The 23,274-nt window shown below is 32.5% G+C and overlaps 1 long non-coding RNA gene across 1 annotated transcript in view; it reads right to left on the reverse strand.

Annotated features, from left to right (window-relative positions):
- LINC02549 (long intergenic non-protein coding RNA 2549) overlaps positions 1 to 13,388 on the reverse strand; it is a 102,930-nt gene extending 89,542 nt beyond the window's left edge. The window contains exons 1-2 of the long non-coding RNA NR_125854.1: positions 13,280 to 13,388; positions 10,434 to 10,561 (exon numbers count right to left, since the gene is read on the reverse strand). This is a non-coding gene — a long non-coding RNA (long intergenic non-protein coding RNA 2549). The remainder of the gene's footprint in view (positions 1 to 10,433; positions 10,562 to 13,279) is intronic.
- Between the last annotated feature and the right edge of the window lie 9,886 nt (positions 13,389 to 23,274).

Below are 23,274 nucleotides of genomic sequence, written 5' to 3' on the forward strand. Positions count from 1 at the left end.
GAATAGTTATTAGCTATTCCTATTATTTAGTAAATGCAGGTAACCAGCCATCCCTATTAAAAAACAACAACAACAACAATGTAAAACAAAGAAAAACTGAATCAAAGATTAATTGTATGAAATATTCTTAATTAAAATTGATTATACTTACCAAGTCATCTATTATTTTATCAGCTAAACTGCAGTTTTCAATTAAAATGGGAGACTTGATTTATTTTAATGAACAACATGGCAAGTCCCTCACCCCTGAAATTTAAGTGACTTACCTATATCTCAGATTGGCAAAAATAATTATATTTCCCTATGACAGTAATGAGCCACGTTCTAATACAACCACCTTACATTTCTCTACAGCATGAATTTTTCCTAACATTCTACATTTTTTCAACCCTGATCTCTATCCAAATTTTGTCAAGAAATATGAACCAGGGGGCCAGAAAAAAACTCTTTGTGGGTTAACTACTTCACGAATAATTTCATTATTGTATATTTTCTAATTGACAAATGGAATGTGTCACAACAGTTCAAGAGAAATGATGGGAAATATTTTCATTATTTTAGTATTATAATAAGATAGGCAAGGCCCTGAGGCATTCATAATTTTTTGATTAAATGACTTGAATGTCTCTTGTACAACTATGTACTATTTGTTATTTGTTATATTTATTATACTAGTCATGTGTGGACAAACATCCTTCCTTCTTGCTTTTCATCTTGCTTTCTAAAATTACACTGAGTAAATTTAGATTATCACGTGTGAATTTCTTGAATTTAACATCCCTAAGTCTAAAAATTGTCTGTGTGTATACATAACTTACTGGATTCTCAGAGAAATGTTGTCGTTTTTCCTTTTTGTCATCCTTTCATATGTACCTTCAACTTTGTTTAATCTCCTGAGAGTATGTTGCATGTTTTACCTTTGGACTTGGTGTAACTTTAATCTGTTCGTCTTTTTCCTCTTTAATGGTCTCATATCTTCCTGACTAATCCTCTTTTGTAATCCTCCTTTCCATAGGAATTTTCTCAGAGATCCATCCTTCCCCTGATTCATGTTGAATCACGTAACTCTCACAAATACTATGGCTTCATAAATACTATGGTGTTCTCTGCTGGCTACTGTATTGGCCTCCAAATACATTTTATACTACAATATTCTTCTGCATTACAAATATACTGTAAAACTTCCTACAAGTCATCTCTTCCTGCATGTTCCATATAACCTCTAACTCTAGCTCAGTATATTTAATAAACTCTCTTTCCTCTCTAAACTATGCTCCTCCATTTTCCCCTATACATCATTTACACAATTTCAAGAGAATCTTAGAAGTAAAATCAAATCTTATCCTTGAAATTAGCTTCTCTCCTAATGTGTATACTGCTTCAGTATTTTAAACTTTATTTAATTATAGTTGATATACACTAAATATTGCATCTTTAATGAATATAATTTGATAAATTTGATATGTATACACTTCTGAAATCATTACCACATTCAAGATAATCACTGAAAAGTTTTCTCATGGCTTTTTATAAACTCCCTCCTGCTGCTCCTCACAACCCTAATGCTTTGTCCCTGTGTCCAAATGCCACTGATCTATTCTCGATATATATATATATTGAATATATAGATCAGTGCTATTTGGTCACAGAAGCACAGCATTAAAAATATTTAGTGTATAAGAATACTTTACATTACATTGCATCTGATAGGTGATTTTTTTTATCCCTTGCCTTCCTCCCACACTGCACACTTCTGAGTCTCCAGTGTTCATTATACCACTCTGCATGCCTATGTGTACCCAAAGCTTAGCTCTCGCTTATAAGTGAGAACATGTGGTATTTGGTTTTTCATTTCTGAGTTACTTCACTTAGGACAACGGCTTCCAGTTCCATCCAAGTTGCTGCAAAAGACATTATTTCATTTTTTTATGGTGTAGTAGTATTCTGGGGTGTGTATATACTACATTTTCTTTATCCACTTATCTGTTGATAGAAAATTTGATTCCATGTCTTTGCAATTGTGAATTGTGCTGTGATAAACAAATGAGTAAAAGTGTCTGTTTGACATAATTACTTCTTTTCCTTTGGGTAGATACCCAATAATCGAATAGCTCAATCGAACGTTGATCTACTCTTTGTTACTTGAGAAATTTCCATACTATTTTCCGTAGATGTTGTGCTCATTTACATTTCCACCAGCATGTATAAGTGTTTCATTTTCACCACATTCGCACCAATAACCAATATCTACTGTTTCCTGACTTTTTAAAACTGGCCATTCTGACTGGGGTCAGGTGGTATGTCATTGTGGTTTTATCTTTAGTTTTAGTTTTCAGTTTAGTGGTTTTTTATTTGTTTGTTTTTGTTGTTTGTTTGTTTGGAGTTTTTTTTTTTAGACAAAGTCTTCTCTGTTGCACAGGCTGGAGTTAAGTGGCAAAAACATGGCTTCAAACTCCTGGGTTCAAGTGATACTCCCGCTTTAGCCTCCTGAATAGCTGGGATTTCCGGCACATGCCACTACACCCACTGATTTTTTTATTGTTTATTTTTTTGTAGAGACAAGGTCTTTCTGTGTTTCCCAGGCTGGTCTCAAACTTCTGACTTCAAGTGGTTCTCCCACTATGGCCTTCCAAAGTACTGAGATTACAGTCATGAGCCACCACACCTAGCCTTCATTGTGACTTTGATTTGCGTTTTCCTGATTAGTAATGTTGAGCATTTTTTTATGTTTGTGGGCCATTTATTTATCTCCCTTTGAGAAATGTCTATTCATGTCGTTTGCTCACTTTTTAATGGGGTTATGTGTTTTTCATTCTTGCTGATATGCTTGAGTTCCATGTAGATTTCGTATATTATTCCTTGGTCAGATATGTAGTTAGTGAGGATTTTCTTCCGTTCTGTAGGTTGTGTATTTACTCTGTTGATTAGTTCTGTTTTCTGTGCAGAAGCCTTGTTTTTTAACAATTATCCATCCCCATTTTATTTTTCTTGTTGAACTCTTATTTATGCTTCAAGACCCAGATCTAATAGTTCTCTCTTTCTGAAACTTTTCCAGGCTCATCGAAGCAGAGGTTTTTACGCTTTCTTTGTGTAGTCACTCAACTCTTATTGCATGCATCTCAGAGGAGTGTATTTTTATGTTTGTCACTGTATAGACACAAGTCATGTCTATTTTATTTTTGTATGCCTTAGAAACTTATATTGTTTATACAGAATAGCAATAATCACAATTGCTTTTTTAAATCAGATATCCCAGCTCTTCACCTTTCAGTCCTGTGATAAGACTACACTTCCCTACCCTCTTTGGGCTTTTTGGGTTGTGTGGGGCCATGTTACTAGTAATGATCAATGACTTGTGAACAAAAAAATCCTACATCACTTCTTTGACAGACCTTTTCTGAAAAGAGACTCTTCAGAACACTATTATCTTTCCACAGCAACTAGCAATGCTCTAGGTGGCAGTTTATCTTGTAGCCTAGATTCAGGAAAACATGAGTTAGAGACTACAACTCAGTTGAGATGAATACATAGCATGAATTAAAAATAACTTTTTTGTTAATAAATTTCCTTTTTAATTTTTTTGATAATTGACAAATTATGGTTGTATAGATTTATTGAGTAAAAACTTACATTATGATTTATGAATATAATGTGGAATAATTAAGCTAATTATATATCATCTCAAATGCTTATTATTTTTATGGTGAGAACATTTGAAATTTACTCTTCGTGATTTTTAAATGTACAAAATGCTATTATTAACTGTATTCACCACATTGTGGAAATAAATCACAAAAAAACACCTGTTACCTCTTCTAACAAAAACTTTGTACCCCTTGGCCATCATCTTCCTATTCCCCTCACTCCCTAGCCTCTCGTAATCATCACCCTACTCTCTGCTTCTATAAATTTGATTATTTTTAATTCCACATATGTGAGAATTTTTCCTGTTGTGCCAAACTTAATTCACTAAGATTAACATCCTCCAATTCCATTCAAGTTGTTGCAATTGACAGAATTAATTTTTATAAAATATATTGACATAAAATACTTTTTACAGAATAAATTGACATAAAAATTACAGAATTAATTTTTTATTTATTTTTATAAAGGCTAAATAGTATTCCATTGTGTATATGTACCACTTTATCCATTCATCTGTTGATAAACTGTTAGGTGGATTCTGATTCCATAATTTGCCTTTTATGAATAGTGCTGCAATGAACATAGGAATGCAGACATCTTTTTGACATACTGATTTCAATTTTGTGGTGGTAAGTATCCAGAAGTGGGATAGCAGGATAATATAGTCATTTTATTTGTAATTTTTTGAGGAACTTCCATACAGTTTTCATAATGGCTTACTAGCATTTGTTAGCTTTCATTTTTTTTGATAATAGCCCTTCTGGGAGATTTCCAGTGACGTCTCATTGTAGTTTTAGTTTGTATTTCCTTAATGATTAGTGATGTTGAGCATTATTTCATATGTATGTTGACTATATGTATGTCTTCTTTTGAGAAATGTTTATTCAGGTCTCTTGCCTGTTTTCTTTTATTATTATTATTATTATTATACTTTAAGTTTTAGGGTACATGAGCGCAACGTGAAAGTTTGTTACATGTGTATACATGTGCCATGTTGGTGTGCTGCACCCATTAACTCGTCATTTAGCATTAGGTATATCACCTAATGCTATCCCTCCCCCCTCCCCCCACCCCACAACAGTCCCCGGTGTGTGATGTTCCCCTTCCTGTGTCCATGTGTTCTCATTGTTCAATTCCCACCTATGAGTGAGAACATGCGGTGTTTTATTATTTGTTTTCTTTATATAGGCTCATTTGAGTTACTACCATAGTTTGGATATGTACCCCTTGTCAGATATATGGCTTGCAGATAGCTTCTGCCAGCCTAAATGTTGCCTCTTCACTCCGTTAATTGTCATCTCTGTTGTTCAAAATCTTTTTATTTTGATGAAATACCATTTGTCTATCTTTGATTTTGTTGTATGCACTTTAGGGGTCAAATCTAAAAATTAATTCCCCAGACAAATGTTTTGTAGTGTTTCCTTTATATTTTTTTCTAGTCATTTTATAATTTCATGCCTTACGTTTAAGTCCTTAATCCAATTTGACTTGATTTTTGTATTTGGTGTGAGATAAGAGTCCAATTTCATTTTTCTGAATATGAATATCCAGTTTTCCCAACACTATTTATTGAGGAAACTGTCCTTTCTGGAGGTTTATGTGATTCCATAGGAATTTTAGAATTGCCTTTTCTATTTTTATATAAAAAAAAGTCATGGGACTTTTGGTAAGAGTCGCACTGAATCTGTAGTTCACTTCGGGTAATATGGGCATTTTAACAATATTTATTCTTTCTATTCATGAACATATGATGTCTTTGCATTTATTTATATCTTCTTCAATTTCTTTCATTAATGTTTTATAGTTTTCATTGTACAAGTCTTTCACTCACCCTGGTTATATTTATCCCTAAGTGTTCCATTTTTATAATCATTATAAATGGGATTGTTCTCTTTTTTAAAAATTTAGTTGTTAGTGTATAAAAATGCTACTTGTTTTGTGTGTTGACAATATTTGGTAATTCAAAGTCAAGGCTGTAACATTACCATATTATTTGTTAGTTCTAATGGTTTTTTGGTGGGATCTTTAGAGTTTTCTATGTATAAGATCATGTTGTCAGAAAACAACAACTATTTTATGTTTTTCTTTGGTATTTTGATGCATTTTATTTCCTTCTCTTGCCTAATTGCTCTGTCAAGGGCTTGTAATACTGCGTTGAATGGGAATACTGAGAGTGGGCATACTTGTTTTGTTTCAGATTTCAGAGGAAGGCTCTCAATTTTACATCATTGAGCATAATGTTAGCTGTGGGCTTATGATCTGTAGTCTTTATTTTGTTGAGGTACACTCCTTCTATAGCTAATTTGTAGAGAATTTTTTTTCCTAAAAGTATGTAGAATATCGTCAAATGTTTTTTCTACATGTAATGAGGGGATCATATCATTTTTGTCTTTTATTCTGTTAATGTGATGTATCACATTTATTGATATGTGTATATTGAACCTTTCTTGCAGCCCAGGGGTAAATTCCATTTGGTCATAATCAGTGATTCTTTTATTTTGTTTTTTAATTTAGTTTGCTGGTATTCTGTTGAGAATTTTGCATCTATGTTCATCAAGAATATTGGCTGTAATTTTTTTTTCTTATAGCATTCTTATTTTCCTTTAGTATCAGCATGTGCTGATCTCATAAAAAGAGTTTGGAAAAAACAGTTTTTCTTTGATGTTTTTAGAAGAGTTTGTAAATAATTGGTTCTGTTTTTTTAAATGTTTGATAGAACATGAGAAGCCAAGAGGTCCTGGCCTTTTCTTTGATGAGAGACTTTTCATAACGGGTTCAATCGTACTTTTCATTGGCCTGTTCAGATTTGGTATTTCTTCATGATTCGGTCTTGTTTGTTGTATGTGTCTAGGAAGTTATCTATTTCTTCTAGGTTGTCTAATTTGTTGGCATATAATTGTACATAGTAGTCTCTTCTGATCCTTTGTATGTCGGTGCTATAACTGTAATGTCTCCTCTTTCATTTCTGATTTTAAGTCCTCTCTCTTTTTTTTTCTTACTCTAGCTAATGATTGGTGAGTTTTGTTTATTCTTTGTTTTTTAATTAAACAACTCTTAGTTTTATTGATCAAAAATAACTTAGATGTTTTGTTCCACAAAAAGGCTAGAATTATTTTTTATGAAGTATAATCAAGTTTATCCTGACTGATAATAACTTAGATTTTCAATAAACGTTAATTGTATGCACAGATAAACAGGCAAATCTTATTGACTTATGTATGTTATATTAAAATATTTGAAAAATAATTTCTTAAAATGAAAATACTTCATGGTTGCATGCTTTATAGTGTATAGGTAATATATTAACTGATGTACTATAGGACACTTGATTTTAAATGGTGGGCTCCAAACAAGAACTGTGTGACTACTATAAAATTTAAATTTATTGGGATTATATAGAAAATAACTAAGGTAAGGTAATTAATGGGATTTTATTCCAATTATTTATGTTAGAGGTATTGCAACCTGAACATTGATTAATGGCCATGGCATAAATTTGAGTATACAGGCTATTGTGCCAAAGATGGAAAATCGCATAGTTCTCTTTATCATTATATTTGTATTGTGCTTTGGTTTTTATAATAACATTTCACCATTATAAGATATCTTATTTTATTCTATAATTTAATTCAATAAAGTCATTATTTCCTTTTTTCCCTATCTGACAGTGTGGAAATTGAGGCAAGGGGAAATGAACTGATCTTGCCTAAGGTCGATCTATTTTTTTTTTTTTTTTTTTTTTGACAGAATCTTGCTCTTCCGCCTAGGCTGGTGTGCAGTGTTGCGATCTCAGCTCACTGCAACCTCCGCCTCCCGCGTTCAAGCAATTCTCTTGTCTCAGCCTCCTGAGTAGCTGGGATTACAGGCGTGAAGATTCAGGGTATAAAATAGACCTTTATGTCCAAATGCTTATTACTTTCATAAAGAAGATTTCAAAATATTTAAGGTGCAGCTTATGGAAATTAGTGTTCACACTAACCATAATGCTAAAAAATATCTATGAAGTTATTCTATTTCAACTAAGAAATTCTATCAAAATATATCATCAATAGAGATAAAAAAATGAAACTCACAGGTTGGGAAAAATATTTGCAATAAAAAAACAACAAAAGCTAAAGAGCTTTTACAAATCTATTTAATAAATGAAAAGGACATCAAAGCTAATGTTCTTTTCGTATGTTAAATAGATTTGTAAAAGCTAAAACATGGATAGAAATTTGAATGGACACTTCACAAAAAGAATACCCAAATGGCCAGTAAGTACGTAAAAAAGTGGTTTATTTACTTTAATAATCATCAGATAAATACAAATTAGAATTACAATGCATCTTCATTCTGCTACACTCTGCAGGATAGCTAAAGAGTAAATAATAATAATAATAATAATAATAATAATGTAATAGCAAATGTTAGCAAAGATCGAGAGAAACCAGAACTCTCATACCCTACTTGTAGGTGAACAATGTGGTGCAACCTGTATGCAAGGTGTTTGAATGTGTATACTAAAGTTAAACATATGCATATGCTATGACAAAAATATTTTATTCTAGTATGTACACCTTAAAGTACATATGTGTTCACAGTAGAACTATTTATAATAGCCAAAAACTAGAAATTTCTCCAGTGTATGTCAACAGTAGAATGGAAAAATAAATTACACTATATACAAACAATGAAATACTGTATAGCAATGACAACAATCTTCAAGTTTGTGCAACAATAAGGAATATCATTCACATAATATTTAGTGGAAAAATATATGTACAAGAGAACATAATATATAATTTCACTTATGTAAATTTCTAAAACAAACAAGATGAATCTATTTTGCTTAAAGTCAAAATAGTGGTTAACCTGTGGGAGGGGGTTAATAACTAGGAGAGTCATGGGAAGGTGAGATCTTATAATGTGGTGATAATAGTCTACTTTGTGATCTTGATGCCTTTTGCACAGTTATATAAAACTCTGTAAAAACTGACTGTGAATGTTAAACTCATATGTGAATGTATATATGTATCATACTTCAGTGAAAGCTTAAAAAGTTAAAATCAATAATCAAAATATATCTTATTTTCCAGAATTCTGTGTTTACTTTATATTTCCATTTTTAAGAAAATTGGTAAAGGCAGTGATCAGTGATAATCTTTACTCCACTTTGTGACTATTTTTCCGTATATAATGAAAAGGAAAACAAATAACATGTGACATTTCAATGAGCCACATTAAAAATAATATCCAACACAGTGGTACATGACACCAAAATATGACATAAACATATATTTGGCATTTGAAAATATAGAGGTTATCCTCACAGTTCTAAAAAGCAAAGGGGCAAAATCATTCATTCAGTATTTTGTTGATATTGTAATTGTTTACCAGGCAAAAGTGTGACACCAATTATAAAAAATGCATTATAATTATTACAGTTCATTTGTTCTCTCAGCAAATTATAAGAGATCTCAGAATAACAGAAACCCAGAGCTGACAAGTGCAACTTTACTGGAAAAGAAAACAAAACCCCATATTCTTCAAGATCACTTGAAAATTTATTTGTGTTTAAATAATTATTTCAGATGATGCTTGTGCTCCTAATAATCAATTAATGGGGAAAAATGTCTTTTCATTACCCATTTGAAAGCAATTGTTATTTAGTGCCTACTCTGTGCCAGCACAAAATACATATTTATCTAGCACCTAATAGTAAGCCCAGTGGCTTAATATTTGGAGACACACCAAGATAGTATAAGATAATCACATTCTCAACCAATGTCATGGTAGCAAGAAAATGATAGATGCATTTTGCTTAACATTCAGCGTATTTTCTATTACATAGATGGCAAAATATATAACAAAATATTCTCAGTACTGCTTTAGATTATTTCTTTCAGAAAAAGGCTGGGGTAGGGGAATACATTATTTCAGTTCATAGAAGGATATTGAAGTTAACTGGGACTTGAATGTTGGAAGTGAAAATGATTTAGTGTAATGAGATTTTGAATATAAATTAAAAGTAAACCAACAAGTTGTGCCAATGGACTTGGTGTGTGGAAAATCAGGGATGACACCCAGGTCTTAGATTGGAAACTTCGCAGAAGTGTTGACATTAGGTAAAATGGGAAAGATTGAATCTTAATTGTTATGGTATGAACCTGCTCAGTTTGTAATCCTCAGGAAAGGTCTACTGGAAGCTCTGTATGAGAATCCAAAGTTTAGGAAATACTATAGCACTAGAGATGGGACTGGACCTAAAGAGAAATTATTGGAAGTTTAACAAAAAAGGCCAAAAACTGAACCTTTAACTCTTCCAATATTTGGAGGTCAATCAGACAAAGAGGGCCAGCAAATAATCTAGAATGAACAGCCAGGTAGAAAAGATGAAAATAAGGAAAATAAATTTCTTTAAGAAAAAAAGATATTGACAAATATGACAGCTGATCCTGAAAAAGATTGAGTGTGATGAGAACAGATACCTGTGAGAGTCAGCCAAGACATCCCAACAGTACATGAAGGCTTGTATCTATTTAAAAGTATTTGAACAGGATTTAGTGCAATTTTCATTCCTGGAGATTACAATTGGGAAGTTAACCTAGAACAACCGAGTTGGAAAGCTGCTTAGAAATTTTGTGAAGAGGGCTGGGCACAGTGGCTCACACCTGTAATCCCAGCACTTAAGGAGGCCGAGGCAAGCAGCTCGCTTGAGCCCAGGAGTTTAAGACCAGCCTGGGCAGGGTGGGAAAACCTCATCTCTACAAAAAGTACAAAAATTAGTGGGGCATGATGGCACTTGCCTGTAGTCTCAGCTACTCAGGAGGCAAATGTGGGAGGATCGCTTGAGCCTGGGAAGAGGAGGCGGCAGTGAGCCAAGATCATGCCTCTGCACTTCAGCCTGGAGCCTGGGCAGCAACAGAGGGAGACCCTTTCTCAAAAGACAAAACAAACAAACAAACAAGAGTGGATAAGCAAACTGGCATACCCAAGAGACTGTTAAACATGTTGTTGAAGAATTTATGATGACATAGAAAATGCAAATATTTATAGTTAAAGAAACAACACAGTCATGTAAATAATGCATAGAATTGATAAACAGCTATATCTATACATACACGTATGCAGATATAGGCTTTTTTCAGGGAGAAAATATATTAAAATGTGAGTGGTTTCTCTAGGTAATGAAAGTATGCCTGAATTTATTTCTTTACATTTTCCATATTTAAAACAAATTATTTGCCATTACTTTACAACTGAAAAGAAAATCTAGTCTCAAAAAAGTTTTCAGTACGTTTAAATGTATTGCATGATGTTCAAATTTTATAAAAAAAATACTGTAACATTATCTTTCACAATTTTATTGAAAACCCCATGTTTCCTACATCATATGTAAAAGAAAAATTTTTTAGACTATGATAAAATTAAAACAACTATGATTGCAAAGAAAAAATGACTTTTGAATATCTGAATTACAAATCACTGTAGGAAATTAAAATGTACCTATTTTTACCTACACTTCCACTTCAAGAATTGTATCTAAAATAAATAAATAAATACAAAAATGAACACATAAAATAAAATATATAAGTAATTATATAAGTATGTAATGCCACCTACACAAGGATTATTGTATAAGCATTATTATAGTGGGCCATTTGGAAATAGACTGAATATCCATCAAAACAGGAGTAGCTGGATAAAATGAAATGTGACTCACCCATTAAATAAAACAGAATCTCTATATCTACAATCTCCATATACACACAAAATAGCAGTCCATACTATATTCTTGACATGAATAATAGCAAATGACAAGTAGTTTATTTTCTCAGTGAATATTACATGGTAAGAATTTCCTAGGTAATTAATAGACATACAAATATTTTTATGCCAATTAATGAAATATTTTTTAGTGTATCAATGAACTATTATTTATTTAATCATTTTCCAGCTGTTATACATTTAGAAGAAAATACATACACGAAGATTCTATGCATTTAGTCTCCTAGAGTTTCATATATAAAAATATGCACTATATAATTTTTCGATTACCAAAATTCCCACATCATTATTCACAGGAAATGTAATACATATTCATCACTGGGAGTACAGAATATTTGCAACATGATTCTTTAATAAAAGAAGGCTTCTTAATTATGAAAAAGTTTTTGTTTTAGTCTGCCATTGCAAAATACCATAGATTTTGTGGCTTATACCAGGAATTTATTTTCTAAGAGTTTCAGAGGCTGGGAGCGTGAGATTATTGTGCCATTATGGTTGCTTTCTGGTAAAGGCTCTTTTCCTGGCATGCATATGGCCACCATCTTACTATGTTCACATGACTTCTTTGTGAGGGTGCTGAGAAAGAGGGAACTAGAGAGAGCAAGCTCTCTGATCTCTTCTTATAGGATGTCAATCTCATTATTAATTCCTCACCCTCATAACCTTAGCTAAACCTAATTACCTCCCAAAGACCTCATCACCAAATACCATCACAATGGGGGTTAGGGCTTCAACATATGAATGTGGGGAAATACAATTCAGTTTATAGCAGTCCTAACATCTAAAATGGTTTCTTCAAGCAACCTACTGTCTTGGAAACCAATCCTTTATCATATATTTGCAGAATGTTTTGATATTGAGCAAATATAGGAAAGTAGAATTAATGTTTAACAAATCTATCTAAAATATTATTTATTCATTATTCTACAAATATAGCATTTAAAAAGAGATATTTGAAGTGTACAAGTTTAGGGTGAATAAATGGTCATATACCAGGTATGGGATAATTAAATAACAACTGTAATTGTTTTAAAATATGTAATTTTGACATTAAGCAAACACATGTTTTCAGTTCATGATTGTGTAGTATCAGCAATTAGAGTTTTAACTTATCAGCATAAAGAATAATGTAAATGTATATTATATTACCACAAAGGTAGAAGCCAAAATCTGAATACCGATATTTTTTCTTAATCTGAGATTACTGTAAACACATTTTTCCTAATTGAATTGTAAATGATAAAATATTTAATTCTTAATTTGTTAATAATTTTGTTATATCTAAAATATTGTTTATGTTATTTATAAATATTATGTGGAAATAAAAGCTTAAGATGAGGATAAATTTACAACGTGATTAACATTTCAAGAATTCAGGTTGTATTTTCTTATATTTTCTTGCCAATTTCTTAATCTTGTAAGGCCTTTAAATTTTAGTATATTTCAAGACATCAGTGAACAAATCTGAATGCTGAGGATACATCTAACTGTCTCAAATGCATGAATAAATTTATAAATATGAGCTTAAAATTACTAATGGAAAAAAATTGTATTGGTTTTATAGATGTATCTGAACAAATATAAAACCCTATTGGTTGTATAGGTGCATCTGAACAAATATTTTTTGATTCTTCTCATAACTGGTACTACATTTGTATAAATGTTTATTTAAAAAAATAAGCCTTAGAATAGGAGAAAAAAAAAACAGTAAATAAGATAGGAAAATCCTATTTTCATATTTTCTGCCTAAAATCAACTGGAATATATTTATTGTATATTTTGCATATTGCTATATAATTATATCTCTCTATCTCAAAACTTTCCATTCCCTAACTGACTTCCATGAAGAATGTTATAGACTTACAACATTTCATAAATTATCTTAATTTAGGGCACCATTGGTTCCCCAGTAAGCTTCAGCTGTTGAGACTTCATTCTGCATAGCTTCAATCTACATATGCTTTCCCTTGTGAGCAGTTGCTCAGGGCTCTGTCAAAAACTAAAGTCCAAGTATGTAATCGGGTGTGCTCCCAAAGATTCTAACGGTTATACTGGTCTTATCTACTGATAATTCAGAACCTTCTACTTAAAAAGAAGTATTCATTGGAAGTCCCTTTAAACCAGCTACATGTATAAAGATTTCCTGTTATCCAGGGATTGTCAGGCCCCAAGATTTCATGGAGTGGCTACAAAACAGAAGGCTATTCCTTAAACCCATCATTGTCTTAACTCAAAAGATACTGAGATGTGCCATCCTAGAAACAAAAAGAGACAACTTAGAGCTCAGAAAATAGTAAAAAAGACAACTGCAGAATCTAAAAAATAACATTTTTGCTAAAAAGGAAATATTCTATTTTTTAATAAAGATATTTTCAGAGCAAGGGAAGATCACAGAAATGCTAGAATGATGTATCCTGGCATGTGGGATTGGGAGAAATGTCACAGGACAGGAGTGAGATAAGCAACACATTAATTAGTAAGATTTTTTTAAAAAAAAATATCTATATATACTTATAAATTCAGGGGGTACATGTGCAAGTTTGTTACTGGATATTGACCTAGACAGAGAATTTATGACTAATTAGTAGGATTTTTAAAGAGGAGTTTCCACTAATAAGAATTGAAAGCCTTTTGAAATTGCATATTTTACACAGGAAATCAATATGGAAGCATGACATCTTACTGATACAGTGAAAGTCCCTGGACTTTCATGTCATCTCATCATTGTTTTCATTAAAGCGAGAGGTAACTGGTAGTCTTTGAAATACAAAATTCAGTAAGTTCAAGCTATGTGATTTTGTGAGATTTTACCTGTCTGAACCATGGTTTCCTCAACTGTAAAAGAAAATACCAATGACTTCTCTTAATTGTTTAATAATTATGAAAATGAATATAATAGGGCTTTTCTACTGTTCCATTCAGTTTTCTATGAAAGCAGAAAATTGATGAAATTCTTAAAATAAGCCTTTTAAACTAAATTTGTATTGATTTGCATTCCATACTGTACTCTCGCCTCAAGAAAGTTATAGTGCAATGTACTCTTCCGGTATTAGGGAAATATATTTTAACACCCTCTAGTGTCCCTAAAAACTCTAAATAACTTATAAAAATTGAAGATTACCTTTTAAAAGAACTCTTTTTAATATAATAACATTTATTATAGAATAATAATTTTGCCATATTGTGTCACTTGTGGAATAATGTGAGACATTTCAATTTTAACCTTTACCATTATGAAATAAATTTCTCATAATCTGCAGTGTGTAAAGGAGCAAGAACTAGCTAATATCTTAATATTTACAATGTATTTGTATGCTTCTAGCTGCAGTTTGATTTTAAAGGTTGAAAACAAATGAAAACATGTCAACAAATTAAGGAGTATGAACAGTTAGGATAGAATAAAATTTGCTTTTGCTTTACTCCATTTTTGTATCCTGAACCTTAAGAAACTCAATCCTAGTAATGCTTTCAAGCCCATGAGGATTTAAGAAAAAAACTCAAGAAAATAAATGTGCATTGAAGAGATTGGAGTGCAGGGAGACGGGATTTTTCAGGGTGACAGGATCTCTGTTCCATGTGTGTGCACAGATACCAGAAGGCACTATCTAAGACCAGAAAAAAATAGTTTCTGTCATCTCCAGATGTAGGGAATGACTGCCCAGCAGGGCTCTTCAGACTGTTGAGAAGTCTGGGTCATCCAATCTGCCTCCTCCATAAAACAGCCTCATCATTTGAGTGTTCCATGGAAACCATGATCTTTACTAATCAAAACACCCCCTTCTAGTAACAGAACTTCAGTATTTTCAATTCTAGTAGAAATGACAACTAAATACATACTAGAAGTAGCAAACAGAGGACCCTGTCTCTCATGAATTGGTAAGATGTACTTCACTCTCTAGGCTTTGTATAATTTAATGATATTAATTAAGAAAAAATCATATTGCAAGCATTTACAATTTCATTTTTCCTTTATAAAGTGTTTAATAGGTATGCAGCCTTATGGGAGTAGTTAAGCCTAAATATCAGCAGATGATAAATATTTCAAAAATGCTGCTCTTTTATAATAACAACAATCTGCCATTGCTATGAGATATTGATATTGATCAAATTATCCATTGAGAAACAATAATTTACTGAAAATTAACATGTGAATTATAAAAATTATTGTGTTTAAATAAAATCCTTTTTTAATTTTTAGAAATTACCTGTCATAGTCAAAATATTATGATAATAATCTATATTATCATAGCCATATGGATTGATTTCCCTTTATAGTTATGTAGATACTTCTCTATTTTGTCATAGCCATATGGATTGATTTCCCTTTATAGTTATGTAGATACTTCTCTATTTTATTACCAAGGCACATTATATTGAAAGAAGATAAGGAAACCATAAAAAATGCTCTTGAGACATATTTAAATTGAAAAATTATTTGTGTTTGTAATATATGTAATTTGTAATGTATGTTATTTGTAATTTGGAACATGTTATACTCCTTCCAATTTTAGGAGTAGAAAGACTGTACATTAGGATTAGATTTTATGTTCAAGAGTGTGAATTCAAACTCATAAACTAAAACTGTGTTGTGAATACATTTAGTTTCACAAAACCTTTAAGTGGCAACATCCTTAAAATCTTATGAAATATGAGATTTCATCATTGTCTCACTGATAAAATAAAGGAGAGCAGAAATTAGAGACAGATTTCAGGATCACCATGTAAGGGTCACTATTTGTTGCCAACCACCTACCTTGCCAGAACTTCTTTCAAGGGACGAAATATTCTTAGGAAGAGTAGTTATCCTGCTTGACCTCAGAATAGATGATTACTACTTTGCTAGCTCCTGCATGTTGGTCTCTACAATATTTTAATCAAACAAACATGAGATTGACCATGTGCTACTGTAGCTATAATAATTTTTCAAATGTGAAGCTTCAGAGAGCAGTCAAGGACTGGAAACAACATCAGCGGTGAATAATAGCCTCAAAATGAAGCATACGGATTAGGAAATTTCCAACACTGTTTGTAACACTATTCTCGTGCTTGCTAAGAAGAATGAAGTAACAAGTTTATGCCAATCTGCTGATTGTCAAGGAAACTTCACACATCGATTTATGTCATGGGATTTACTCCATTGGACAAGAACTGTTTTCTTGCCTTTTCCAGCTTGTTTAGGGCCACCTTCTTTCCTTAGCTCACTCATGGCCCCCTTCCTCCATCTTCAAAGTCAGTAACATCAGACCAAGAAGTTTTAATGATACTGCATAGTTCTCTCTTTCAATTCTGTCTTCCACTTTTAAGGATCCTAGTAATTACATTGGGTCCACTGAGATAATCTGGGATTACTTTGCTATGTTAAGGTAAAATGACTAGCAACTTTCATTTCCACTGCAATCTTAATACCATTTTACCCTGTAATTAATGTATTACCAGGTTCCGTAGGTTAGAAGGTAGACATCTATGGGTTTTTGTTGCTGTTGTTGTTGTTGTTTTTGGTAGGAGGGAGTGTTATTCTACCTACCACATCTGTTGTCATTAGGTGAAGAATATTCAGACCACAAAGTATACAGAATCCACCTGTGCTTTTCCAGGGACACTACAGATTGTATCCAGCCTAGGGCTCTATGGGAAACCAGTGGCAGCTAGAACCATGGGGACCATGGCCAGATCCTTTGTAATCCCTAATAGCATCTTTATGAGCCTTTAATGAGCATGAGCTTGTGCAGCTTGCTTGGAGGTCAGCCAAACTTTTCTCTGGCTTCTTGGTAAGTAGAGACTGTTCAACAAATTCCAGACAAGTTCTCACCACTGTAAAATACACCAAAGTAAGATGTCAAGCAGATAATTAAGTCATGGTTTATGATTTTATTTTATATACATGGTTTTTAGAATATAAATATATTCTATAAAACATATAATTCTATAAAATAATTACTGATGGCCTAATTGCTTGGTATTTGTTCCTGTAAGTAATATAGGCCCAACTTGAGAGTCCAATTTGCTTTATCCACCATAGGACCAATCATGTAGACATTAATGACCTGCATACTTGACAAAGCCCTATAGGGTAATATAATAAGGTACTGTGAAAGTAACATTATAATCCATAATATCACTTATGAATTAATTCATTGTATTTAAATGTTCCCACTCACACATTTTCCCCTTCCCTGTTCTTCTGGGAATATCTGAAAAATAAGACAAATACACTTACTACCTAGTTATGCTAGGAAGTTTAATACCCAAGAAACACATTTCCTTCATATTCAGAGACAGAGCTCTAAGAATCTCTGAATGATTTTAGAATACAAAACCTCTCCATTCACATTATGGAAAATATGCAGGAATATTATACTTGTGATTTATGTTTTAGTTTCTACCACTCACCTGCAGCTCTACTGAACTAATTTATTTCCTCTTTAAAACCTACACGAAAGCATCTTCTGTGCTACATGTTTCTCTCACCATTCTCCAATATGCATTGCGAATCAAGTCATGGTGCTGAGCAGAATCCTTTCCCTGAGAACTGTTGATAATGCTGACCAGCACTCACAAGTGCGTCCCTTGAAACATTTTCAGTCATCACAATCCCAGATGCCATGAGTCATTGAATGTGTTTTTTTGTTTTTTGCTTTACATATATAGCACTTGGCCCTTATTTCAGCTGATGGAGTAGGTAAGAAAACGGATTCTGCTGGTTGTTTCATTTTTCTTTTTCTTTTTTTAAAATAAAATAAAAAAATTTATTTAGAGTTTTTTACTCTCCGAAGTCTCTCCCACAGAATCCCTCAATCTCAATGGAAGTAATATGCTTAAATCATATAAACAAGGACAGTGCATGACAGAAATCAAAATGCTATTTTTATTTATTTAATGCCATTTACAACTGTTCATTATGACACAACTAAATAACTTAAGCATATTTATTTTATTAATAATGACAATTTTAGTTTTTTTGACAGCTGAATCCCTCGACATAAAGATAATTAATTTAGCCCTCTTTTACCAGCAGACACCATTCTGCTGAATAATCAGTCAATGAAGGAAAAGTAAACAAATGAAAAAAAACCAGCAAAAAAATGTGTGTACATAAATAGTTGATTTTATGATTGGGATAGATGGAATCTATTTATAGAAGATAGTAATGTTTATTTGAAGATAAAATTAGGTTCACATCATTAAGAAATCTATGTGGATAGATACTATTAATGTGATATATATTAATAGTATATTGATACATTAATCAGAATATATTAATTTTTCCTTATCTGTTAATTTTTACTCTATTTACAACAGTGGAAATCTATAAAGCCAATATTAACTTTCTCTGGAAGAGAAATAAATTGATGATGAAATATCAGATACTTTCACAAAAATATGTAAGTTGAGATGAGAATTTTTAGCTGTCTTTTTCAGCACCAACTTTAAAAATTATTTTAGATCAGCTTTATGATTAGTCTAAAAATTAGTTTAAAACTTTAAAAAACAAAGAAAGTCAAAATGAGAAGCAGATGGGCCTATACTTCTTTAGACATGAACTGTCTGTTTCTCCTTATGATCAAAAGAAAGGCAAGAAAGGAAAATGGAATAAAACACCCGAGATTTCACAGACATTGCTACACATTGCCATGTATTCATTAGATAGCCAAATATATTCATATTGAAACACTCATTCTTACTCAATATGTTCATACTATCATGTTTGAGTGCTTGGTTTTAAAAATATTTGATTGAAATTAGGTATTTTGCACTCAAATTATTAAGGGTAGATATTAATATAAATTTTGTTTATAGTCTAAGGTTTATATTTTTATAATATTTGAAGACAGTGAAAATGTTTACTTAACCTGACATTATTTCAATTGTGACACACAAATATTCCTATAGTCTATATTGTAGTAGATGTAAGACCCACTCAAAGGCATACTAGACACATATTAAATTGTTAGTTTTACCTTATTATGTCTGTTACAAAAATTATGAAAAACTATTTTTATCAGCAATCACTAATCTCCAAAATTCTAAGCTCATTAGTGTGGTAGAAACACCTAATTGTCATTGAGACTGATGAACAACTTATGGTAATGGCACACAGACTGAGAGAATTTTATGCTAAAAAAAATTAAAAATAAATAGGAGGGTATCCAATAACAAAATTTTAGGATTTATGGATCCTCTGTCCTTCAAATACTGCAATATTGGACCAAATATATAATTTAGCACTAAGGTGCTAAAAATAGAACTTACTAATAAAGACTTGCTTCTCTATTCTCTATTACGCTCACATGTGCTGCAGAAATATATCAAGCCATCATCTTCTGGTTTCTAGTCCATCACTGGCATATTATTTCTCAGATCACATTTTTGCCGTGTATTCTTTGTTCAAACTGAGAGTTCATGCAATTTTCTCAGTCTCATCCTGGTACTACCAGTACTACCTCACTGACAAAATACATATGTTCCAAAAACATTTGTAAATGCACATTTATGTCAAAAAATCGTACTTCTTTTTGCTGAATTACATTACAGTCAAATGTTCTTATGAGGGAAATAACATCATTTTGAGCTAAAACATTTGCTTTGCATTTTTCACTATTTTATAACAGGAAACTTTGATCACTACTAATAGCCATCTGTCTCTTTCCACTTCAAACTAAAGCATCTTTTGCAGGACTATGATTGTCGCATATGGATATGTAAGTATTCCCATTTAAATATCCTCTATTCTCTTCGGCAGGAATCTGGACTTTATTACCTGTTCCTGAATGACTCTTTCTTATTTCATTATCCATAAATCCTCTCATACTCTCTTTTAAAAATCTCTCAAATCCTTTCTCTATTTTTCCCTCCACTTATATTTCGTCGCTTAAGAACTTTCAATCCTCTTTTTAGAATGGCACAATAGCCTGTTAACTGGTTTCAAGTCTCCAGTATTACCAAGCTCCCAATTTAATATGACAACTAAAATGGATTGCTGAGACACACTAAGTACATTGATTTGATGCCCTGTTCAAAGCTTTCTGTCTTGCTCATAACATTATATTTTATATTGTGTCCCAAAGAAGATCAATTGGAAACTCAAAATGGGATTAGGGGAAGAGAAACAAAGTTCCATAGATAAATGAGCTTAGGAAATTGCAGACATAATTCTTTTCATTGCTGTAGGCCTCTCAGGGTATTTTGAAGTTGTAGGCCTGTTGAATATCCAGGAAGAGAGAATAGTATGCAGCATTTCCCAAACCTATATGTTCATAAATTCTGTGGCATAGACAAGGAGGCTGCACATACTTAATGAACACAATTTGAAAAATGTTGGGCTTAGGGACAGTTTCAAACTTCCAGGTGTGGCAATAGGAGTGCCTCTAATTCTGTCCACATCTAAAACCGGGCTCAAATCAACTCTGCTCTTCCCTGTTATTCTTGCTACACTAGAACAGTCACAGTGCCTCCATTGGTGATCATACTTGCTTTTTTTTTTTTTTTCCCCTGGGACAGGCTCTTGCTCTGTCACCTACCCATGCTGAAATGCGATAGCAGGATCACAGCTCACTGCAGTCTCAACCTCCTGAACTCAAGCAATCTTCCCACCTCAGCCTCCTGAGTAGCTGGGACTTCAGGTGAAACCACCATGCCCACCTATTTTTTGTGTGTGTGTATGTGTGTTTGTGTGTAGAGACGAGGTTTCCCTATGTTGACCAGGCTGGTATTGAACTCCTGGGCTCATGTGATTCTTCTGCCTCAGTTTCCCACAGTGCTGAAATTACAGGTGTGAGCCACCATGCCCGGCCTAAATTTGCTTTTATATTTGCCTAATATGTCCTTTCCTGGGAAAACTCTTGCCCCACTCTCAAGAATCAGCACAAGTATTGCTTTCTTTAATCCAATATCTACCCTCCCCAACCTGTTACTTAAAATCATTTGAGAAATCTCTAGATCTTTACAAGTGAGGCCCCAGTATTGGTTTTAATTCCTAACGTTGGTTCTGAGAAAGTGTAAGTGCTGAGAGCCATTGCTCTGATTCTCATAAAAAGAAATCATGCCAACATTGGGCCACTATTCTAGCTGATGCTCCTATTGCAGCACTCGTCATGCTGCATTGTGTTAGTTTACATGTTTTGTCATTAAATCAGGACTATTACTGATGTTTGTATTTCTGAAAAGTATTACTATTCTGATACAGGATAGGTATTCAGTAAGTATATATTATTAATTAGCAAAAAAGTTTAGTCTAAAATTGGATCTTAACTTCCTAGTAGATATGGACATTTTACAAATATTTATTATTTTGTATTATAACAGAAAGGCAAAAAACTCGCATCCACATATAAGTGCCATCATCATGAACCAACAACTATTGTAAACGGGTACATTAAAAAGATAACATTATTAAAATTTTGAGAATTGTATGAGTAAAAATTTTATGTCCTTGTATTTGGAAAAAGACTGCATCGTAAACAAACCTGGACGGCCAAGTTAATAATCATAGTTGTTGAAGTACTATAAATCATTTAAGCTTTGGAAAGATAAATTACACAAAAATTCAGCAAACTTGTTGTGGCAATAGTATTTAACATAATGAGATAAAAATTACTGTATGGAAGACTATGTATGAAATAAATGATTTATTTTGCCAAAAGCACTATATAAGTTTAGGGGGTAGCTATTAACAAAATAGGTCTGAAAAATATTTTTCAAAACAATAAAGAGAAAATCGACTGTAAATGTAAACAGTGAGTTTGCAAATCACCTATCCTTGGAGCACCACTCTTAAAAATCTGGTGGAATATAGCAATATCAGAAATCAATCAGAAACATTTAAATAAAATTAAAACCTTAGATGTAACAAACTGAAATGAAATTAAGGCCTCAGTAAAGAGTTAGATCATCAGATATCTAAAAAAATAATCCCCAAGAGAGCCCATAACCCAGTTTAACCTTGGTGAAAGTTTATTGCCCACCCCAAATCCATTCTTTTCTTTTTCAATTGTAGCAAAACCCTGATTTTTGGGGAGTGGCATTGTGTCCAGCTACAAAACTTTATATTACCAATGATTTTAGCAAACCAAGTCATGACCAATAAGATGTAGGTGGAAGTTTTAGAGAATGCTTTTGGAAAACTTTTTATTATGGGCTGAAGTTACCTGACAGTATTTTATAGTCCTTCTGCCTCTCATGAAGACATGACAGCTGGAGCTACAGTGATTACCAATGGCAATGAGATGGTCTTGAGGATGAAAGTCACTTGCAAAGTATGTTGAGCAGAGAAGAGATAGCCTGAGTGTTGTGGCATTATGGAGTCATCACACCTACCCTACATTATTTACTTTTTCACATTTTAGTTTATTTCACTGAGTTTTTTTTTTTTCATGTCTGTTGCTAGTAACAAAATGCAATACCAAATTGATAGACAATGCTCTTTCTCAGAAGACTGTCATCTAACTGGTGTTATTTAGTACTTTTTTCCCATGAATACATGCCTAAATATCTTTCCTTGACATGTAAAAAGGGAACCTAGAGAAATATTGTTATTTTCTGGCTTTTCTGAAGGTCCTGTCTATCCTCTGGATGACTGACATCCAACATGACCATAAAGGAGAACCTAATCACTATTCATAAGCATTACAGAAGCATGTACAACATTCTTCCTGTACTGAGTAAAAGATACCCTGTGATCAATTAATTAGGGAGCTTCAACATTTAGAATAAGTGTAATCATTGGCACATTTACTTAAATCATTTGATTTAAGAGACATTCTTCATGCACCTGTAATTTGATCAAGGTGACTTAAGAATGCTTTTAGGGAGGCATGACTGGACTTGACTGTAACTAAGGAAACACATATTAAAATAATTACA

The sequence above is a fragment of the Homo sapiens genome, chromosome 6 (assembly GCF_000001405.40).
Source record: "Homo sapiens chromosome 6, GRCh38.p14 Primary Assembly".
Taxonomy (NCBI): Eukaryota; Metazoa; Chordata; class Mammalia; order Primates; family Hominidae; genus Homo; species Homo sapiens.